This window comes from Homo sapiens, chromosome 6 (assembly GCF_000001405.40).
Source record: "Homo sapiens chromosome 6, GRCh38.p14 Primary Assembly".
Taxonomy (NCBI): domain Eukaryota; kingdom Metazoa; phylum Chordata; class Mammalia; order Primates; family Hominidae; genus Homo; species Homo sapiens.
This window is the reverse complement of record NC_000006.12, coordinates 75,613,698-75,637,477: the sequence shown is the minus strand read 5'-3', so window position 1 is coordinate 75,637,477 and position 23,780 is coordinate 75,613,698. Positions and strand designations below refer to the sequence as shown.

At 36.0% G+C, this 23,780-nt stretch overlaps 1 protein-coding gene across 3 annotated transcripts in view; it reads right to left on the bottom strand.

Annotated features, from left to right (window-relative positions):
- The window catches only part of SENP6 (SUMO specific peptidase 6), a 116,402-nt gene that overhangs the window by 80,804 nt on the left and 11,818 nt on the right, over positions 1-23,780 (bottom strand). For all 3 annotated transcript variants that reach the window (NM_015571.4, NM_001100409.3, NM_001304792.2), the window contains exons 2-5: positions 15,853-15,946; positions 13,518-13,578; positions 3,752-3,897; positions 2,667-2,771 (exon numbers count right to left, since the gene is read on the bottom strand). In NM_015571.4, coding sequence (NP_056386.2) covers positions 2,667-2,771; positions 3,752-3,897; positions 13,518-13,578; positions 15,853-15,946 — 406 coding nt within the window. The remainder of the gene's footprint in view (positions 1-2,666; positions 2,772-3,751; positions 3,898-13,517; positions 13,579-15,852; positions 15,947-23,780) is intronic.

Genomic DNA, 23,780 nt, shown 5'->3' with positions numbered 1-23,780 from the left:
TCTATCTTTTAAATATGAATTTAACATTTGGAATAGCAGTTAAGAAAATAGATTGGAATCTTAATTATGACCCAAAGACTACCTAATCTAATGTGGTATTTTAACAAACTTCACCATTCTGTTTAGATAAAAAGGTGTAAAGCACTCGTTCCCATATTATTACTAAAGAACTACGAATTACTCAGATTTTAGCAGGACTGATTTACTTAAAAGACAAGATATACCACTCACCCCAAGAATACACTATGTATGAATTACCAGATGGATGGCTTTTGTTTTCATTTCAAATTATTATAAGACTTGAGACAGGTGCAGTGCTCAGGCCTGTAATTCCAGCACTTTACGGTGCTGAGGCAGGACTGCTTGAAGCTGGAGACCAGCCTAAGTAACAAAGTGAGACCACGTCTCTACAAAAAAAATTTTTTTAAAGTTAGCCTGGTGCGGTGGTGCATGCCTGCAGTCCTAGTTACTCAGGAGGCTGAAGTGGAAGGATTGCTTGAGACCAGAAGTTTGAGGCTGCAGTGAGCTATGACTGAGACACTACACTACAGCCTGGGCAACAGAGCAAAACCCTATCTCTATAATTAAAAAAAAAAAAAAAATTAAGACTTCAGAAAATAAGAAAATTTAGGAGAAGCTGTAAAAGCCAATGTGTTTACCCTCACCTGAAGTCTAACAATTGTGCTAAATCCCTGGAAGCAACAATCTTAGTTAAAGCCTTTCTTTGTGCCTTTGAAGACGTGATTCCTACTGCATGCAGTTTCTTCTTCTACCTGGTAAACTCAAAAACTCCTTTAATGTTTCCTTTATAAATTCTTGTTCCCTTCTCTGTAGTTTTTACTACACGTATTTTGTATAGCTCTACTGCTGCCCTAACCATGCATGTAATCATTTGTTTACTTGTCTTTCTGTACCCTAATCAATCTCTACTGCAATCAAACTTGAGCTTTACTGGTAGAGATTTTATCATATTCATCTTTATGCACCTCATCTATGCCTGGTATGTAGCATAAAATCATTCAATGTTTTTGAAGGAAGAAAACCGAAGAACTCTCAATGACTTGTCTTTGAACATCAAAATCTTTTTAGTGACAGTCATGCTGCAGTTGGAATAAGAAATGCTTATTCTTATACAGAATAAATAAAAGACAAATGTAAGTAGAATCTGTCCTGCTGACTTGATTATACAGTTTTCTTTGCTGCCCCTAATCATTAAGAATTTTTCAATTAGGATTATTTCTTAAATACAAATTAACTCAGGTTGTTGTTTTTAAAGAAACATTTTACCAGTATAAACTAGTTCATATGAACTGAATCTAATCTTTTATGTAAATGAGCAATAATACACATGCAAAATGTTATAGGTGTTGAGACCTAGAGTAAAACAAATCGCAACCCAATTTCCAGACTATTAACGGGTTGTTTTTTTTTAACATTACCAGTGAGGAAATGAGGAATGGAAAATAGGTCACTAGTAATTCCAAACTAACAGACAACTTCAAAAGCAAAAATAATGTAATAATTTTGGTTGTAAATGAATCACCTAAATTGATTATAAGGTTTAAGTTAGTATTTCAAACTTAGACTACATTATCAGAATATTAAGTCAGCTTTATCAGCAATGGTTTCTATTAGTATGATCAGGGCATAAGAATGTGTCTACTCTTTTTCTCTCCCCTAATTACTCTCCTTTTATTGTTTATTCTCATGTTTTTGCCATATGTAGGCCAGAGAGCTTGTATACTTTGCAGTAGAGTAAGCCAATTTTTGGTCTGCACAGTAATTTGTCCTTTTAAGTTTCTCAAGCATCTCAGGTGAACACTATTTGATACAATAATACATTTAAGGCAAAAACAAAAGGTTGGTTTATCATAAAGTATGAGGTTACTTAACATTTTTAAGTAAAAGATCTGATAGCCCATCTATGTAAACAGAAAAATATAGCAAGGTTCAGGACGTGTCTTCTAAATGACGAGCAGTCTAGATATTACATTTTTAAAAAATGAAGAACAGTATCTAAAATATATGCCAAATCTTAAAATGTTACTAGTTATAAGGAACTGTTTATAATGCAATAAACAAATTATTTATTTAACTCTTGTAGCCTAAGAATTTCAGTCAACTGAAAGGTCATGTAACATTCCAAAAATGGTTCCCTAAATGTTACTTTCATTATTTTGACTCAAGCAGTACTTTCAAGATCAATGAGAACTCCTAAATCTAACTACAACTACAAAATAACATTTTCTCCAACATTTAAAACTAATGTGACTTGTTTTGATGCTATGAACTCTTATAAGCCTTATAAAGAAAGTACGGTATTAACTGTAATTTTACTCTTCAGAGCTAAACTACCAACTGAAGATATCTCAGTCAAACACTTTCAGGTCAATATTGTAAATCAGTTTCAGTATCATCTTAGATTCTCTGGATTATAATGCAATACAACAGGTCTTAGTGAAAAATTCTCTATTTACAGAATCTGATTACTCAAAAGCAGATATAAAATAGTATAATTTCATGTCATGAATTATTTCAGAGATATATCTCTCTACAGACAGTGAAAACAGTAAGGTTTCACAAAGGAAAAAAATGGTTAAAAAAAGTGAAAACCTATTGAAGAAGATGCCATGTATATACTAACCAAAGACAATTAGAATTCTTACCTTTGGGCTGCTGTTTTTACTACTGGTATCTGTGCATGAGCATGATGAAAACGTCTACCATGAACTACAGTTCCAGAACATAATGACGTATTTTGCGTATTTTCACTGCAGATTCAAGAAACAAAAAATAACTTGAACACGGAAAAATTATATACACATTTATAAAAAAAATCTTTTAAAATCTGAACAAACACACAAAAACCTTTACCAACAACAACAAAAAATTTATGGATAAACCCAATTGTCTTTTGGGAGTTTTCCATTTCCTGAATTTGTCTTTCAAATGTTTCCAATCCAATTAAAGAAAAATTTAAAAATAGCAGATCACCTGAGGTCAGGAGATCGAGACCAGCCCAGCCAACATGCTGTAACCCCGTCTCTAATAACAAATATAAAAATTAGCTGGGCATGGTGGTGGGCACCTGTAATCCCAGCTACTCGGGAGGATGAAGCAGGAGAATCACTTGAACCCGGGAGGCGGAGGTTGAGAAAATTTAAAAAATAAAGCAGAATACTAAAATAAAAATCAGGAGTCCTAAATACTATTTCTGATTTTGCCACTGACTTGAAAGTTACTGAGCTTTTATGTACTTCATTTGTCTATGTATAAATTGAGACAGCAGAAATAAAAGTGACTTTCAACCCTATTTCTGAGTTGCTACTGATACCCAATCCTACCAATAATGGTGGTTCACTATTGTAAAAAGGAGGAATAAGAAATTTTTAAGTCCCCTATTGAGACAATCCTGATTAGTATTTCCTAAAGGAGACATGACCACACCACTCTATTGTGCTTCTTCAAATATTATGACTGAGATTCTACTAAATGTATGAAAGCAAAATCATGATATCCCACCCTAACAAAGTATTTCTTGCAATGTTTTATTCAGAAACAAGAGACACTGCAATCAATCCTACTCCTAAGATTCAAAGCAAAGAATCCACATACTGGGACCATGCTACCTCTTGGCCCTATAGACAAATTCAGAAGAAAAGGTACAGGTTGGGCCTATTAGCTTCTAAGTTTTTGGTGTCAAACTCTTCCTTTATCTTTTCTGTAGGAATGTGTGGTGAAGTGCCTATACCTCAATTTCTTATTGTTGCTCAACATGTTAAGTCCAATTGGGTTGCCTTTCAAAGTTTTAAAACTTTCAGACTTGTTTCGTCTTACATATGTCTTCAAGATGAATTCACCAGAGCTATTAGCAACAATTTCAGATCGACGATTTAACTGTAAAAAAAGATCCAGAAATATGAGTCAAAAATGCTATAATGTGACAATCTATCAACAACTATTTGAAAACCATTTAAAAGTAGTAAAAACATACAGCTATTGGGAATGATGGTGGATAGCATTGGCATGGATTTAAGAATAATTCAACTGCCTACTTTTTTTTTCCTAAAGACAATGCAAATTTGTAGGAACATGGAGGTTTATTGTATTACTTTCTTTTCATGTGAATCTTTCCAAAGATATTTGAGACAATTAGGGTAGAGGATCTTAGGATAGCTTTCTCCAGAGAGTAAAAAGTAAGCATTTCCCCTGCTTATCAGGCCTTGCTGCTATCTGGAGAACACTACAGCCAAATATGGCAATCGGCTGTCATTTCAACTTGTGCTTATGTATAAGAACTTTTGCCTTAGTATCAAAGTTTCTGTACAGGCAGAAATTGATACTTTATACTTCAATAGATGCAAATAATAATATAAACATATCAGTAACAATCACTTTAGAGAGATCACAGTATATAACAGGCAAAAGGAGCAAAATAAATTTGTAAAGATTCCTTTATCATACAATTATAAAATTACAGGACACAATTTCAGTTCCCAGAAAATTCAGAGACAACTGTTGAATTAAAATACAACATATAAATTATTTTAGCATCCTGGCACATCTACTCACCTCCTAATTGTTTTGATTTTCCATTATTTTATTTGTGCTAATTTGGTAATCTACATCAAATTACTGGGAGGAAATAAGGTGTAAATAAGTTTTTAAAATTTTATGGCTGATTATCTCACAGATTAGAGTACTCCCATTAATAAAATCATGATGATATATTCAGTCTGGAAGTCCCTAAAACTTTAAATCCACCGCCCTACCCCAGCCTAAGACAGTTTTCCAGGTAATGCAAGCACAGCATCAAGAGAACTACTGTGAATAGATGAATCCATTTGTTCGAAAAGAGATCAAATGACTAGAAAACCAATTACAAACATGGACCTTACTGATGTCAGACCTGCAACTATAAACATTATTTGCAAAGAAACATCAGTTTACAAAGGTTCAATAACACTGCATTTAATAATAACAAAATGTAGCTATTTCCAGAAAACTGCTAGTGTCATATACTATGTGAATTACATCATCTCATATAAATCTCATGACAATTCTAGAAAGTGGACAGTTATTGGCAAGCCTAGAGTTTGCTATTCTGACTGGTTAACACAGGACTTATCCAAAAATACTACATAGTAGTCCCCCTTTATCGATGGTTTTGCTTTCTGTGGTATCAGTTACTAACAGTCAATTGCGTTCCAAAAAAAATTTTAATTTAACCACTCCTCTATTAGTAGCTACTAAGGTTGTCTCTAAAGTTCTGCTATGGTATCACTTAAATTTTTCAGAGATTATGAATAATGCTCAGGCAAGGGAAGTACATACTAATTCATAAAAATGCACCAGGGCATAAAACATGAAAGGACAGCTTAACTCTGGTACTATGCAGCAATGCTGTCAGGCATATGATAAAGCCAGGTATTACTGTCCAGAGTGTTTAAGAACCCACACGCTCCCAGAAACAAAAACAAAAAATATCTGCCTGTGTCCTGGCAACACAATCAAAGTGTGGGTGACAGTCACTTGTTTATGGAATGGTTTCATCAATGCTTCATCCGAGGATATATATCCACTATTTTCTGGGGTCTCAGTCATTCACTGGGAGTCTTTAAGGGGGCCTCCGGATATCAATCTATGAAATACATTTATACAAAATAAACACTGATACAGGGATCAGCAAACTTTTTCTGCCAAGGGCTAAAAGTAAGTATTGTAGGCTTTCTTGATCATATAGTCTCTGTTGTATCTACTCAACTCTGTCCAAATATTCAAATCTGTTGTTGTAGCACAAAAGTGGCCATAGACAATTTATAAATAAGCATGGCTGTTTTCCAAGAAAACTTTACTTATGGACACAGATTTGAGTTTTATATTATGCTCACATGTCATGAAATAGAATTCATTTGATTCTTTCTTCCAAGCATTTAAAAACGTAAAAACCACTGTAGCTAACAGACAATAGACTTCAGGGTAGAGCCTTAATGTGACAACTCCTGTTTATAACATTAATCATTAAGTAACTAATAAGCATAGCAAGTTATTAGAATTTAAGTTCCACAAGAACAAAAAAAGTCTGTTTTGCTCCAACACTTAGAACACTGTGCTCAATATGTATTTGCTGCATCAATGAATAGTTCATTGAGAATACTAAATATGTGAAAATTATCAATGTTATCTTCCACCCAAAATTATCACATCATGTAATTTAAGTAAAGTACTGATATTCAGGAAGTTTAGCACCGAAGAATATCAGATAATAAGAGAACCTAATAGAAACCATTAAGTTAGAGACATATGTATGTTAAAAGCACTTAAATTCTGAAAAACAAAGAATTGAAACAGTAAAAAATTAGACACACTATCGAAAATACAACTTTGAAAGAGAACCAACAGCAGTTCTATAAATGATAAATGTCATTGAAATCTTTTAAAAGTAAAAAAAAAAAATCCAATGTATGGATTAAATAGCAGCTTAGAGCTAAAGATAAAAGTAAATTGGAAGATAGAGCTAAAGAAATTATTCAGAATACGGTACAGAGATATACTTCTTCATTCCATTAGCCATTTTTTTTCCTTTTTTGCTTTTAAACATAAAATATAGGTTACGGATTTTTTTTTTTAAATGATGGTTTTATGTCTATTAGGAGGTCTAGAAATAATAATGTAGAAAGGTAAAATCCACAGAGATAATGACTAAAATGTTTTCTTAACTAACAAAAGATATAAATCCCTTAAAAGAAGCACAGTGAAACTGCAGAAGCCCAAAGACAAAGAGAAGATTCTGTGAAAGAGAAGGGGAAAGATATGAAGACACTGTGAACTAAATTTAATAAAGGATTTCTCTTAATTCCACACTCATTTTCAAATGGAGAAACCAGTCTATAATAGTTTAAACCAATGATCCATATGGACCTGAGAAAAGAAAAATAGCTCAGAGCAGTCTGAGCTCTGTGAGATATGCAAAATTTATCAGGCCCAGAGAGACATAAGTAAGGGACTTCAGTCATAGCCCCTGATCCATGCCCAAAGGCAATTATTTAAAGGTGTTTTGTGCTTTTTCTTGCCGGTAGTTTCCTGACTAGCAGATAAATTACCTAAAATGTTGGCCGAGCAGCTCAAACCTGTAATCCCAGCACTTTGGGAGGTCGAGGCTGATGGATCACCTCAGGTTAGGAGTTTGAGACCAGCCTGACCAACATGGTGAAACCCCGTCTCTACTAAAAATACAAAAATTTGCCGGGTGTGGTGATGCATGCCTGTAATCTCAGCTACTCAGGAGGCTGAGGCAGGAGAATGGCTTGAACCCAGGAGGCAGAAGTTGCAGTGAGCTGAGATCATGCCACTGCACTCCAGCCTGGGTGGCAAGAGCGAGACTCCATCTCAAAAAAAAAAAAAAAAAAGTTATCACAAGTTGCACATTGTGGCCCTCATTCATTATCTTCATGTTCCAGGAATTTGTGATACAAAGAACAAAGTATGGCCAATCCATATCTATTGTTAGCTATTTTAATGTAAATTCTTGGTAAACAACTTAGGAATAGTCTCTTCTTTTTTCCTTAAAAAACTCACTCATATCTGCTGCTAATCAAAGCATACATGTGGGAGAACCTAAATCTATGCTCCCAGGTTGCAGTCCTCAAATGTGGCTCACATAAACTCACTATATTAATTTTTACTCTATTAACTTATTAACTATATTAATTTTGCCTCAGTTTCTTCCTTTAGCTTGACAGACCTATACATTACCTGTAAGCTATTCAAAATCCAAGTAGATATATGTATATATCCCTGGGACACACAAAGATCTTCTGAAGGATTATCAAGCATGGTAGCTTTAGTCATGGTAATCAACTTTTAAATCCTCAATCTGGCTGGGCATGGTGGCTCACACCTGTACTCCCAGCACTTTGGGAAGCCAAGGTGGGCGGATCACCTGAGGTCTGGAGTTCGAGACCAGCCTGGCCACCATGGTGAAACCTTGTCTCTGTTAAAAACACAAAAACTAGCCAGACATGGTGGCATACGCCTGTAGTCCCAGCTACTCAGGAGGCTGAGGCAAGAGAATTGCTTGAACCTGGGAAGGCGAAGGTTGCAGTGAGCCAAGATTGCGCCACTGCACTCCTGCCTGGGGGCCAGGAGACTCTGTCTCAAAAAAAATAAAAATAAAAAATAAAAAAAGGCTGTATTGGCAAAAGCATATAGAAATTAACAAGATTTCAGTTTTTCCAATTACTTCTGAGAGTATTTGGTTAAAACAAAACAAAACAAAGAAACCTAAAAGTAACAAGTATACTAGCTATTCAAATCTTGGTAAAGCTTTTTTAGTATATTTATCCAAAATCTGGAAGGCCAGTACCTAATGACTGGATTACAAATTATTTTTAATTTTTAAATGTTTGATTACTATGTCATTTTTGGCATTTAACTCAAAAGGAAAGAACTGTGGCCAGGCACAGTGGCTTATGCCTGTAATTCCAGCACTTTGGGAGGCCAAGGTGGGTGGATCACTTGAGGTCAGGAGTTCCAAGACCAGCCTGGTGGCCAACATGGCAAAACCACTAAAACTACTAAAAATACAAAAATTAGTCAGACGTGGTGGCAGGCACCTGTAGTCCCAGCTACTTGGGAGGCTGAGGCGGTAGGATCGCTTGAGCCTAGGAGGAAGAGGCTGCAGTGAGCCGAGATTGCCCCACTGCACTCCAGCCTGGTAGACAGAGTGAGATTCTGTCTCAAATAAAAAAAGAATTGTATGATAATACTATAGCAAAACTATTTCCATATTTATCTATTTAGAATGTAACCAGGATTTGTCAGCACTGGTATCTAACAAAAAAGTTTAAAAAGAAATTTCCCTCCATAAATATGTACAATTGTTATGTGTCAATTTTTAAGAAAGAGTAAAATTGTTCTGAAAGTTTCATTCAGGTAATACAGATTAATGAATAGATGAACTAAATGAATAAAAAGGGAAACCATCAGCCTCACCCATTTTAAAAGATAAATTTCCAATATTATTTTGCATAATAAATTTAATAATTATAAATATCTGTAATAATACTTTTTAGATCAAGTGTTCATTAATAATTATAATGACAACTCAGCTTTTAAAAAAATAAACTTTAGTAGCAGGAGTTCTACTTAATGTTAAGCTTCAGTGAAGTTTATCTTCAGTGAAGGATATCTCTATTAAAGTGTGATAGGATAATAAAAAGATTTTCAATTACATAAAAGTATATCATATTAAGATTCTATGGGAAAACTGAACAGAAGAAATATGAATTTAAGACGGAAAAGGCACAATATAAAATTTCTAACTGTTAAGAGATGGTCCATGTATACTTAAAATAGATGATACTATCATATCAGAATAATCTTTACAGTTCACTAAATAAATCAATGTGTCCTGTAGGTTTTACTTTAAAACATAAATATTTACATTTAAAAAATATGTAATAAAGCACATACTTTTACAAAAAATCATAAGAAATCTGAAAGCAGGCCAGGCGTGGTGGCTCACGCCTGTAATCTCAGCACTTCGGGAGGCCAAGGCGGGCAGATCACGAGGTCAGAGTTCGAGACCAGCCTCACATGGTGAAACCCCGTCTCTTACTAAAAATATAAAAAATTAGCCGGGCGTGGTGGCACCATGCCTGTAATCCCAGTCACTCAGGAGACTGAGGCAGGAGAATCCCTTGAACCCAGGAGGTGGAGGTTGCAGTGAGCTGAGATCACACCACTGCCCTCTGGCCTGGGTGACAGAGCAAGACTGTCTCAAAAAAAAAGCAATCTGAAAGCTACATATGTGTACATGAAGACCAATGCCCTATATAAGTTAGTGACAGAAAACATCTTTTATTTTTTATTTTTATTTCTGGTAGAGTCTCATTTTGTTGCCCAGGCTGATCTCAAACTCCTGGCTTCGAACGATCCTCCCGCTTCATCCTACCAAGGTGCTGGGATTACAGGCAAAAGACACCGTGCCTGCTCACATCTTATTTTCATCTACCAAGTTCACTCCTTTTTTTCTACTTTTTTCTTGTCTATCTAAAAAACACCTAAAAAATAGCACTTCAGGAAATCCAGATGTCAAAATAAAAGCTAGGAAACCTGCAGTGGGAAAAACCTTAGAGTTTTTCAGCATGAATAACTTTATAAAGAAAAACTGAACAGTATTAAGAGAAAAACATCAAATTCAATAATTTCCTCAGGACAGGCACAGTGGCTCACGCCTGTAATCTCAGCACTTTGGGAGGCCAAGGTGGGTAGATCATCTGAGGTCAGGAGTTCAAGACCAGCCTGACCAACATGGTGAAACCCCAGCTCTACTAAAATACAAAAGTTAGCTGGTTTGTTGGTGTCCGTGTGTAATCCCAGCTACTCAGGAGGCTGAGGCAGGAGAATCACTTGAATCTGGGAGGCAGAAGTTGCAGTGAGCCGATATCGCACCATGCACTCCAACCTGGGCAACAGAGTGAGACTCAGTCTCAATAGATAAATAAATAAAATAAATTTCCTCAAATTATGATAAAATAGAGCTGTTGCAGAGGGAAAAAAAAACCCAGAAAGACGGAAAAAAAAGTAAATGTTAAAAGTTGTTTAAATTCTTACACTGTAAATACAGGAAATATGTGAAGGTGCTATGTTCAGATCAGCAAAAATTCAAGTATGACTACATATTTTGCAAGATTACAGGGAAATAGAGTCATACACTGCTAGTGGGAATGGCTAATGTTAACACCTTTAGATAGGGAATTTGGCAGTATCTAGCAAAACTACATGTGAATTTCACCTCTGAAATAGCAACTTCAATTCTAGGAATCTATCCCACAAATATACTACACAGATATGAAAAAAATATCTATGCACAAGGTTTTAGTGAAGTCTTATACGTAATAGCAAAAGACTGGGGGAAAAAAATCTCTATTCATCAGTAGGGACAAACTGAATATCTACAGTATATCCATCCAATGAAGTACTATATAACAATAAAAAGGATGATAAAGATTTGTAAATACTTTGCTGTAGAGTGATCTACATAACATACTGTCAAGTAAAAAAATCAAGGTGTCAACAGTGTGTATAGTTTTTCCAAGAAAAGTGGTATATGCTTACATATATATATATATATAAAAAGCTAAGCCACATAATTTTTAAAACAAGTCACTTATAGGGAAAAAAGAATAAAGGGAATCAAGACAAAATTAGATTTCTCTGAAAATTACTTCTTTTGAGATATGATGCTGAAACCATCCAAAAAATTTACATAATAAAAATTAAAATGAAAATAAAATGCAATTCCTCACTATAAAAAACAAAATTAAAAAACAACAACAACAACAACAAACCTAACTCTCTATTTAGTTGGTAGAATACCAAACAGAAATAAACAATTTCAAATTACTTAAAAATATACTAATTTAAATACACATTCCTAGTGGAACTATACATATACCTGCTAGTGTCATCAAAAACAAGGAAACAAAATAATTTGAAAATCATTTTATTAGTAATTATGTTGGTATTACTATTGTGAAACTATTTTATATATCTAATAAGACAAAGCAAATAAAAGTGGGTTTTTTTGTTTTGTTTTTTGTTTGGAGACTGAGTCTCGCTCTGTCACCCAGGCTGGAGTGCAGTGGCGCAATCTCAGCTCACTGCAACCTCTGCCTCCTGAGCTCAAGCAATTCTCCTTCCTCAGCCTCCCACGTAGCTGGGACTACAGGAGCCCACTACCATGCCTGGCTAATTTTTCTATTTTTAGTAGAGACGAGGTTTCAACATGTTGGCCAGGCTGGTCTCGAACTACTGACCTCAAGTGATCTGCCTGCTTTGGCCTCCCAAAGTGTTGGGATTACTGGCATAAGCCACTGTGCCCAGCCCCAAATAAGTTATTAAATTAACATCATTAGGAACAAAGACAGTAGACTCAAAAGCCTTTAAAAGAAAAATGATACATCTGATGACATAAGGAAATATATTTTCCCCATGGCAATAGCCACCATAAGCAAAGACAAAAGACTAGTGAAAAAACTGAGTTAAAATTTTAGTAATGGCCAGGCACGGTGGCTCACGTCTGTAATCCCAACACTTTCGGAGGCAGAGATGGGAGAATCACTTGAGGCCAGGAGTTCATGACCAGTCTAGCCAAAATGGTGAAACCCGGTCTCTAATAAAAATAAAAAAAAAATTAGCCAGGCATGGTGGTGTATGCCTGTAATCCCAACTACTCGTGTGGCTGAGGCATGAGAATTGTTTGAACCCGGGAGACAGAGGTGGCAGTAAGCTGAGATTGCGCCACTGCACTCTATTCTGGGCAAGAGCCAGACTCCGTCTGAAAAAAAAAAAAAAAAAAAGGACACACACACACGTATATATATTAGCAACTAGTATCACAGCAAAGGGCCAATTTCTCCAAAATACCTTATTTCATCAAACCTATAACATTATTATACAATACACCATTATTGTATGTACTACAGTGCAAAATTTTTTATTTTTTAGAGATGGAGTCTCACTATGTTGTCCAGGTAGTCTCAAACTCCTGGCCTAAAGCAATTCTCCCACCTTGATTTCCCAAAGTGCTAGGATTATAGGCGTGAGCCACTACACTTGGCCAAAAACATTTTTTTTAAATAATTAAAGCATATCATGCTATCTTAATAAGATGCATCTAGATTTCAAAGATGTTAAAATGTGAAAAAAAGTGTGTCTTAGACTAAATATAAAAATAATTCCTATGAATAATATTCTAAAGACCAGATAGAAAAATGGGCAAAGGATATTAACTGACAATTATTCTAAAAAAGAATGAGACTATACATATGAAATGATGTTCAACCTCACAAAAAATAAAATGGAAATTAAAACTACACTGAGATACTAGTTTTCATTTGCAAAGATCAAAGGTTGAAGACATTATGACGGATGTGTGGGGAAACAGATACGTTCAGATATCGATGGAACAAGTGTAAATCTGGTATGCCAAAATTAGAAATGGACCTGTCCTGATAAAGCAGTGCAACCTCTAGGAATTCATTCTACAGATACGCTTGTATGTGTGCAAAATAACCCATATAGAAGGCTAATTTACAGATTATTTTAGAAAAAAATTAAAAAGTTGACAACTCTGTAAATATCCATCAATAGGTGGAATTGGTTAATGGTATATAATACAATGGAATACTATGCACTCACTGAAAACAATGAGGTGCTTTTTATGAACTCTTACAGATGGTCTCCAAGATAATATATTAAGTTAAAGGAAGATCAGAAAAACCATGCACAGTATATTACCAATTGTGTAACATGGGAGGTGGAAATATTTCTCTTCTTTATAATGCATGAAACATTCCCAAAGTGATAAATAACAAACTGGGAACACCATTTGCCTCTGGAGTGGAGAAAGTGGGTAACTGGGGTTTATAATTTAAAAATATTAAATCTTTTGAGGTAACAATTTTTTTGTATATAATGTAAAAGAAGAAAATATTTTAAGCAACACTTGCCTTTTTTCCTTTTGAGGTTTCAGAATCCTCATCTTCATCCACACTGAGCAGATTTGTCCCACTACACAGAAAATAAGGGGAAAAAAACATAAGTAGCAATCACAATCCTTATATTAAATTCTGAGGTTTTATCCTCTATGTTCACCTAATTCAGGGAATCAGCAAACTTTTTCTGTAAAGGGCCAAACCACAGTCTTTGCAGGCCATATGGTCTCTGTAGCAGCTACTCATATGTTGTATGAAAACAGCCATAAACAATACATGTGGCTATGTTCCAATAAAAATTATTAACTGAATTAGGTGGCACGCAAGATTAGCCCATGGATCATAGTTTGTTGAACCCTACAATAAATGAACACATAATTCTGTTTATTTAGTTATGGATTTTATATATTCTCATTCATTTTTCCTTTTTGTCTTAGATTGAAAATTAAGGGTAGAAAGATAGAGAAACAAAGAAATGAACTGAAAGGAAAGAAAGCCTTAGCTAATGAAAAGAAAGTAATTCCAGTGGTATTACCATGGTAAAATAGTTATACTTCTACCACTCTTGAAAATATCAACCCTTCATTGAGAAATCACCGGCCTGAAATTCTAGAAGATTAAACTAATGTATCTATTAACAGGTTCATGTTAATAGATACATGTTCAAAAAGCTGATGTGCCTGAGACTCATGATGAACCAAATAGTACAATTCAGAAATGAAATGTACAGGACAGCTAGCACCGTAAAGACAGTTTTTAAAAAATGTATAACTACAGTAAATCTGCCATCAAAGAAAGTCAAATACAACGTTTTCGAAGACAACTCAGCTATTTATTGTAAAGTCCTAGATATTTACACAAAAATGTAAAATGTTGTATTACTGTTTATATACATCCAAACTTTTTTTTAATGATTAAAAAGTCTCTCGTAAACATTTTATAAACATGTTTAAAAAGTGGTATATTTTCTATGCAGCTTAATTTCAGATTTAATTCTAATTTTTCAAAACTATATGCATACTGAATAATTGTTTTATATTTTAAAGTAATCAGAAAAAGTATAAAAGAAATGAAAGAAAGAAAACCATAAAATACTGACTTTAAATGAGAGACTTACCAGTTCAAAGCTCTCCTTCAAATAAAACTTCAAATCAACATCTCATCGGTGAAGGCACATAAAGTGGTAATGATGAACGGAGCTGTTGCCCAGACAGAAGTGAAGCACCTACAATATTTAGCCAATATATTCTGAATGACTTCTTGTATAAAAATTTCTTTAACATATTTATAGTTTTGGTAGAACTTTGTGTGTATATTTGTGGATCTCTGAATTTGTTGTTTATTTTGGCCAGCAGAAAACCAGATCAATAAATCAAAAAACTAAAAACAATGTTTTTTTGTTTGTTTTTGTTTTGTTGAGACGGAGTCTTACTCTGTCGCCCAGGCTGGAGTGCAATGGCATGATCTGGGTTCACTGCAACCTCTACCTCCCGGGTTCAAGTGATTCTCCTGCCTCAGCCTCCTGAGTAGCTGGGATTACAGGTGTATGCCACCACATCCAGCTAATCTTTTGTATTTTTAGTAGAGATGAGGTCTCACCATGTTGGCCAAGCTGATCTTGAACTCCTGACCTCAAATGAACCACCTGCCTCGGCCTTCCAAAGTGTTGGGATTACAGGCATGAGCCACTGTGCCCGGCCAAAAAACTAGATGTTGAACTTTAAAAACAAATCTCATGACAAACAAAAAGTTCTATTAAAACTATCATTTAAAATTTTTACACAACAGTCATTCCAAGTAGATTAACAAAGTGTAATGAACACTTTGCTTAACTTCTGTCTGGGTAAACACCTGTGTTTATCATTTATAATGGTTCTGCTTTCTCTGGTGAGAATCTGACCTAAGATGGATGTGGTAGGGGTGGTGGTCACAACTGGGGAAGAAAGATACTGTAGTATTTAAACTTTCATACAAAATGCAAGGGTCTTATCTGGGTTCACTTACTCATGATAAATGGTGGATTTCCAAATTGCTGCCTGAACAGAATGCCTTTTTAAAAAACAAAAAACAATTTCCTTATTTTGAAGCCTTCCATTGTACAGTCAATTTTTAATTGTAAGGTTACATGTACTACAAGCATATATTTATACATTTCAAAAGATGGAGAAAATAACAGTAAAATTATTTATCAATAAGGAATTGCTTTTTCTTTCCTTAAAGCGACTGTGAAAGAGTTATATGTTTTCTTAAGAATACCATACTCCTAAAAATATTTCCATACAATAGAAATTGTTTTTCTAATGAGAAGTTTTATTCTTATAAAACATCTGAGGGAAAAAAAAATCCTTACTCTTTATCTGTATCTCCTTCACTTTCTTCTTCATGATCAAAGCTCCAATTATTTTTAAAACCTCCATCTCTCTTAGACTCTGATCTAGCCAAAGCTGAAATAAAAACAAACTGCAGTAAGTATTCATTAATAGAGCTATTCAATATAAAACAAATATGTGCATTTCCCAAGCTCTTTGATTATTCTAGATTTTGTTTTAATTTGGTTGCCTTTGTCTATTTTTTGTAAACATTTGATTTCCTCCAAAGAGAAAAAGAAGACATTAAAATCTGTTTTTACTAATTCATAATCATCCATACATGTGCTTGCTACACAAAGAAGCTCAGATTAGAAAGCTATAATAAAAACGGAGGGCACATGAATATGTATGAATATATATAAAATCAGCCCTAAATCTCATCTTTGATCACTGATTCTAGAAATAAGTACCTATAAATAGTTTGCTTGCCTTCTTCATGAGAACTATATCCAGACTGCTAGACTCTCCCTTAAACTCAACGATACCTGCCTTTTAACAGAAGAAAAACAAACAACGTTTTCGGTTTTGGCAATGTGGTTAAAACTTGACAACCTGAAAAACTCTAGATCAGAACACTAAATGTGCTCATTATGAATTTTAAAAAATTTTATAAGTGCATGGCTGAAACCCCTTGAAGCCATTAACAATTAGAAAGTGGGAACCCAGAGAGCTAAATGAAATTCCAAAGATGGCATTTCTCTCTTGGTACCCTATGACCAAAAACCTGATGTCCTAGAACCCAGGCTTTATTAGGTTAACCTCAAGGCCCCAGCAAAATGAGATGTCAGACTGAAAACCAGACAAGCTGAAGGGCAACGCTCTGACTTGGTGAACTAGGGAAAAACAAAACAGAACAAAAAACTCACTGAAGAGGCAGTGGGGATAATTCTGATGTCTTAAGCTTGGCTCTGGCTTTCTGAGTTGAACTAAAGACAAATAAAGTACATCCACCCCATGGTCAGTGCTATGGTCTGAATGTTCTCAAATTTATATGATGAAATCCTAACCCCAAGATACAGATGGTATTAAGAGGTGGGGCCTGTGTGAGCTGATTAGATCACGAGGGCACAGCTCTCACGAATGGGATTGGTGCCCTTATCAAAGAGGCCCAATGGAGCCTGTTTGCCCCTTCCATTCTGTGAGGAGACAGCCAGAAGGCACCATTTGTGAAAAAGTGGGACCTTACCAGATACTGAATCTGGACCTCTTGATCTAACTTCCCAGCTTCCAGAATTCTGAGAAATGTGAGGTTTAAAGGCCACTCAGTCTATGGACTTCAATACAGCAGCCCGAATGAACTAAGACAGGAAATCCCTAATCATAAGAGATGACAATTAACTAGGGTTTGTAGCCAGAATTTTCACAACTTACAAGGCCATGAAAAACCCATAATTAAAATATCCTCCCATGAAAAGATGCTCAGCATCACTAACCATTAAAAAATGCAAATCAAAACCATAATGAGATACTACTTCTCACCCATTAGGAAAGCTTATTTTCCTCTTTTTTTTTTTTTTTTTTTTTGAGGCAAGGTAGCCCAAGCTGGAGTGCAGTGGTGCCATCATGGCTCACTGCAGCCTTGACTTCTTGGGCCCAAATGATCTTCCCGCCTCAGCCTATGGAGTAGCTGGGATCACAGACACATGCCACCATGCTCAGGAAATTTTTAAATTTTTTTGTAGAGGTGAGGTCTTGCCATTTTGCCCAGGCTGGTCTCGAACTCCCAGCCTCAATCCATCCTCCCTGCCTCAGCCACTCAAAGTGCTGGGAATACAGGTGTGAGCCACCCTGCCTGGCTGCTATTATTTACTTTTAAAAATGGAAAGTAACAAGTATTGGCTAGGATGTGGGAGAAACTGGAACTCTTGTGCATTGCTAGTGGGAACGCAAAACAGTTCAGGCACTGTAGAAAATAATTTGGCAGTTCCTCAAAAAGTTAAACATAGAATTACCCTACGAGCTAGCAATTTCACTTCTAGGGAGACATCTAAAATAACAAAAGCATGTATTCAAACAGACACTTGTATGCCAATGTTCATAGCAGCATTATTCACAGTAAGCTAAATGGTGGAAACAACCCAAATTTCTATCAACAGATTAATAAACAAAATACAGTATGTGTGTACATATGTACACACACACACACACACACACACACACATAGACACAACGGAATGTTATTCAGCCTTAAAGGGATACGAATTGGATACAGGATACAAGACAGATGAACCTTGAAAACAGTTACTAAGTGAAATAAGCCAGATGCAAAAGGACAAATATTGTATGATTCCACATATATGAAGTACCCAGAATAGGTAAATTCATAGAGACAGAAAGTAGAATCAAGGTTACCAGAGGCTAAAGGAAGTAGAGAAATGGAGAATTACTGTTTAACAGGTACACAGTTCTTGTTTATGATGATTTAAAAGATCCAAAAATAAATATTGGTGGTGGCTGCACAACATTATAAATGTACTTAATACCAATGAACTGCATAAATATACACTTAAAAATGGTTAAACAGTAACTTATATGTTATGTATATTATACCACAATAAAAAACTGCTTTTAAAAGGAAAAAAAAAAAAGCCTGAAAGTGACTAACACAAGCAAACATAAATCCTCTCTAAAAAATATAAAACTTCAATGCAAGCCTGAAAAAAAAAAAGTTTCAGAAATATCATGAACAGGAGGAAATAAGTCTTAATGAGCAAACCATCAGTATACATGAAACTTCCTAACATGTATACTGGGATTGAAAACATAAGTAAATAAATAGTAGATGATGGAAACAAGGTTTCTCCCTGTCAAATAAAGAAGTTACAAATAAGCAAGAGAGGAAAGACAGAATGAACCCTATGGTGCTAGGTTAGAGTCAGACATACCAGCCTGAACTCACATTTATTTAATACATACACAGATGTACAGGTATGTTGTAACACGGGTTAGTATAGAGAGCTAGAGCTGCTTTCTTAGAGGGTCTAGAAGCAGTGACACCCCAGTAGCAACAAACACACCTACAACTAGATCTTGGTTTCTAAATACCATTCTCTCTAATAAAAGGAGCCAGGGTTCCTAGAAGAAATGACTGATTCTAGGCCAGAGGCAGAAAAAACACCAATATGAACCTGGTGTAACTTACAGGGTCAGAATGCAAGAAAATCATTATTTTTTTTTAAAGACAGGGGCATGTCAAAAGGTTACAGAAGCCAACTTGAAAGAATTCCCAACGGCCAAAGTTGGAACAATTTTAGCAAAAATAAATAACATCGGCATTGGGTTATAACTCCTAAATAAAATAAACATTCCCGAATCCATACTGATAAAAACAGATGAATAAATAAATAAATGGAAAGAAGGGACACATGTTCCTTACAGAAGAATTCCAAATAATATAAGCATATACTCCCTTCTCCAAAGATAAAAATGAATTTTCCTTCCCTTGAGTATGGGCTCAACTTGGTAACTTACGTCAAAAACACAGACATAAAAGGGAGGAAAAACAAACTGACAATGGAGAAACCTGACAAACACTACCTCAGCCAAGTGATCATAGTTAACATTCATAGTGATATGTCTTATTCATGGCATGTACCCTTTAATATGGTATGATGAAAATAGCACTTCAGCACTGTGATCCTTTCCCTAAAACTCATAATCCCAGTTTAATCATAAGAAAACATCAGACAAACCCAACCTGAGGGACACTGTATAAAATACCTGTATACAGTATTTTGTACAACTGTCAAGGTTATGAAAAACAAGGAAAGATTAAGAAACTGTGAAAGAACACAGTATACTAAGGAGACAAGACAATCAAATCCAAAGTCCTGGATTGGACTCTCGAATATGAAAAGGGTGTTAATGGAATTACTGGTTAAATCCAAAATAAAGTTTGTAGTTCAGGTAATAGTAATAACACTATCACACAAATGTTAAATTTCATAGTTGTGACAAACATACACTGGCTATATTTGGTGGCAACATTAGTGGAGGCGGAGTAAAAGTTATATAGAAGTTCTCTAAACCGGCCGGGCACAGTGGCTCCTGCCTGTAATCCCAGCACTTTGGGAGGTGGAGGCGGAGGCGGGCGGATCACCTGAGGTCGGGAGTTTGAGACCAGCCTGACCAACGTGGAGAAACCCTGTCTCTACTAAAAATACAAAATTAGCCGGTGTGGTGGTGCATGCCTGTAACCCCACCTACTCAGGAGGCTGAAGCAGGAGAATCACTTGAACCCAGGAGACGGAGGTCGCAGTGAGCCAAGATCACGCCATTGCACTCCAGCCTGGGCAACAAGAGCGAAACTCCGTCTCAAAAAAAAAAAAAAAAAAAAAAAAAAAGAAAGAAAGAAATTCTCCAAACCATCATTGAAACTTCTATATAAATTTAAATGTATTCCAAAAGAAAAAGTTTTAAAACACCAAAGGCTGGGTGCAGTGGCTCATGCCTGTAATCTAAGCATTTTGTGAGGCTGAAGTGGGCAGATCACTTTAGCCCAGGAGTTTGAGACCAGCCTGGGCAACATGACAAAATCCTGTCTCTACAAAAAAATACAAAAAAATTAGCCTGGCATGGTGGTGCGTGCCTGTAGTACCAGCTACTCAGGAGACTGGGATAGGAGGATTGGACGGAGGATCAATTGAGCCTGGGAGGTTGAGGCTGCAGTGAGCCATGATCACACCACAGCAATCCAGCCTGGGTGACACAGCAAGACAATCTCAAAAATACATAAATAAAAATTTAAAAACACAATGTAAAATGAACCTATGTTTCAAAAGTCAAAAGAGACGTCGTAATATTTATGCACTAAAGGAACTGGGGTTCTTTACACACAATTCCTTTTTTTTTTTTTTTTTTTGAGATGGAGTCTTGCTCTGTCGCCCAGGCTGGAGTGCAGTGGCGCAATCTCAACTCACTGCAACCTCCGCCTCCCGGGTTCAAGTGATTCTCCTGCCTCAGCCTCCTGAGTAGCTGGGATTACAGGCGCATGCTACCACGCCCGGCTAATTTTGTATTTTTAGTAAAGACAGGGTTTCACCATGTTGGTCAGGCTGGTCTCGAACCCCTGACCTTGTGATCCACCCGCCTCGGCCTCCCAAAGCACTAGGATTACAGGCGTGTGCCACCACACCTGGCTGTGTACACATAATTCTAACAAACTCAATCATACCCTAATTGATATTAGATTAGAACCTCCATGGAAGTGATAATTTCCAGTGAGAGAAAAAATAAATTATAAAAAGAAAAGAGATTTTTAAAAGTTTGGGGGCAACCTGGAGTGGGGACAAAAACTTAAAATCTTCAAAAGTCCTTGAGAGTATCACTACATTTCAATAACTTGTTATGGTTGACCTTTGTAATTATGAGAGTAGAAAATTATGTCCACTGTATTCTAGTTAGAAAATTAAGGAGATGGAAAGAAAAAGGTTAAGGAGAGATCCCAGTTAAATATCACAAATTAAACACCTAAAGTTTTCTCCATATCCTCCACTAAAATGACAATAATGGAAAGAGGAAGAAAAGTAGCAACCCATAAGAACAAAAAGAACCAGAGAGGAGATAATAGTAGAAGAGAGATTAACAAAAGTGAAAAAAGATAAACATTCGGTGGATGAATAGGAACTAGTATAGTTGACCAAAGAAAGCAAAAACCTAAATGTCTATGAGGGCACAAGTTACCAAATGAACACAAGAAGCAAAAGAAGATTTTTAATACTGCTATATCAATAAAATAAATTGAATTCATTATGACAAATCTTCCCAAAAAATCAAAACTCAGGCTCAGAAGGCTTCGCCACTAATTTCTTTCAAACTTTTAAAAAATAGCATCAATCTTATCTGAACTTTTGCAGAAAATAAAAAAGGAACACTTTGCAGCTCATTTTATGAAGTCAGAATACTTGATCCTAAACTTGACAGTGACATTCAAGGAAGGAAAATTACTGAGCAATCTCACAAAAAGACAGATATAAAACCTAAACAAAATCTTAGCAAATCAAACTCAGTGATATATAAATAACACATTACAATTAAGCAGGGTTTATTCTAAAAAGCAAAAGTAAACATTTGAAAATCATAAATGTAATTTACAGTATCCACTCACAACAAACAAAAACTCTTAGCAGGCAGGGCACAGTGGCTCATGCCTGTAATCCCAGCACTTTGGGAGGGCGAGGTGGGTGGATCACTTGAGGTCAGGAGTTTGAGACTAGCCTGGCCAATGCTGCGAAACCCCGTCTCTACTAAAAATACAAAAATTAGCCAGGCATGGTGGCGCGCACCTGTAATCCCAGCTACTCGGGAGGCTGACACAGGAGAATCGCTTGAACCCACAAGGCAGAGGTTGAGTGAGCTGAGATCATGCCACTGCACTTCAGCCTGCGCGACACAGCAAGACTCAAACAAACCAAAACAAACCTCTTAGCAGGATAGGCGAGATAATCCCAGCACTTTGGGAGGCCAAGGTGGGTGAATCACTTGAGGTCAGGCATTCAAGACCAGCTTGGCCAACATGGTGAAACCCTGTTTCTACTAAAAATACAAAAATGAGCTGGGTGTGGTGGTGCATGCTTGTAATCCCAGCTAATTGGGAGGCTGAGGCAGGAGAATTGCTTGAACCCAGGAGCTGGAAATTGCAGTGAGCCGAGATCAGGCCACCACTGCACTCCAGCCTGGGTAAAAAAGTGTGTGAGACTCTGTCTCAAAACAACAACAACAAAAAACTTGCAAACCAGGAATAGAAAGGCACTCCCTTAATCTGAAACAGGAATAACTCCCCAAACCTTCAGCAAACATCTAATTTCTCCCCAGCAATAAGCTATCAGCAAGTCTATTCAAGTACATAGTGAAGGTCCTATTGTTGGTGCAGTAAAGGGAGAAAAATCACTTGGGAACCATTATATTAATAATTGGGGGATTCAGTCATGAATCATCAATGGATGCTGAACCAGTGGGTGAAATCTGACGAGAAACAAGTTATTTACAGGTTTCAAAGTATCTCTCCACACAATATTTATTAATTTCAAAGAGAAAGATAGTGGCTGGGTGCAGTGGCTCACGCCTGTAATCCTAGCACTTTGGGAGGCCAAGGCAGGTGGATCACAAGGTCAGGAGTTTGAGACCAGTCTGGCCAATATGGTAATTCCCCATCTCTACTAAAAATACAAAAAAATTTGCCTGGCGTGGTGGTGCACACCTGTAATCCCAGCTACTCGGGAGGCTGAGGCAGAAGAATGGCTTAAACCTGGGAGGCAGAGGTTGCAGTGAGCTGAGAATGCGCCACAGCACTCCAGCCTGGGTGACAGAGCCAGACTCTGTCTCAAACAAAAAAAAAAAAAAAAAAAGATAGTAACTTTCTGTGGAAAAATCTGGTGAACACCACCTTAACTAAGTGATCAAAGTTAATTTCCCCAACAACAAGACAAATTGACATCATGGTCCCCTCAATATGACACACTGAAAAGAACAAAAAAATCATTTTTATGGCATTCCTTATATTTTTAAAAAATGCATAACCTGACTTGAATCATAAGGAAACATCAGATAAACGCAAATTGGGATTAAACTACAAAATAACCACCCTGTTTTCTTAAAATATGTCAAGGTCAAGAAAGACAAAGTCTGAAAAGCTATTTCCAGATTAAAGAAGACAAATGGGACATAACAATCAATGCAATACATCATTCTGTATCAGATCCTGAACCAGAATTTTTTCTCTTTTGCTATTAAGGAACATTTTTAGGTCAACTAATGAAAGTGGAAAAATGTTTGTAGATTATAGTATTGTATCAATGTTAATTTTCTGAGTTTTATAACTACACTGCAGTAACTTAAGAGAATGTATATTTCCTAAACAAATAAGGGTAAGTTACACAATAAAGTAATTACGGTTAAATGAGCAGCATGT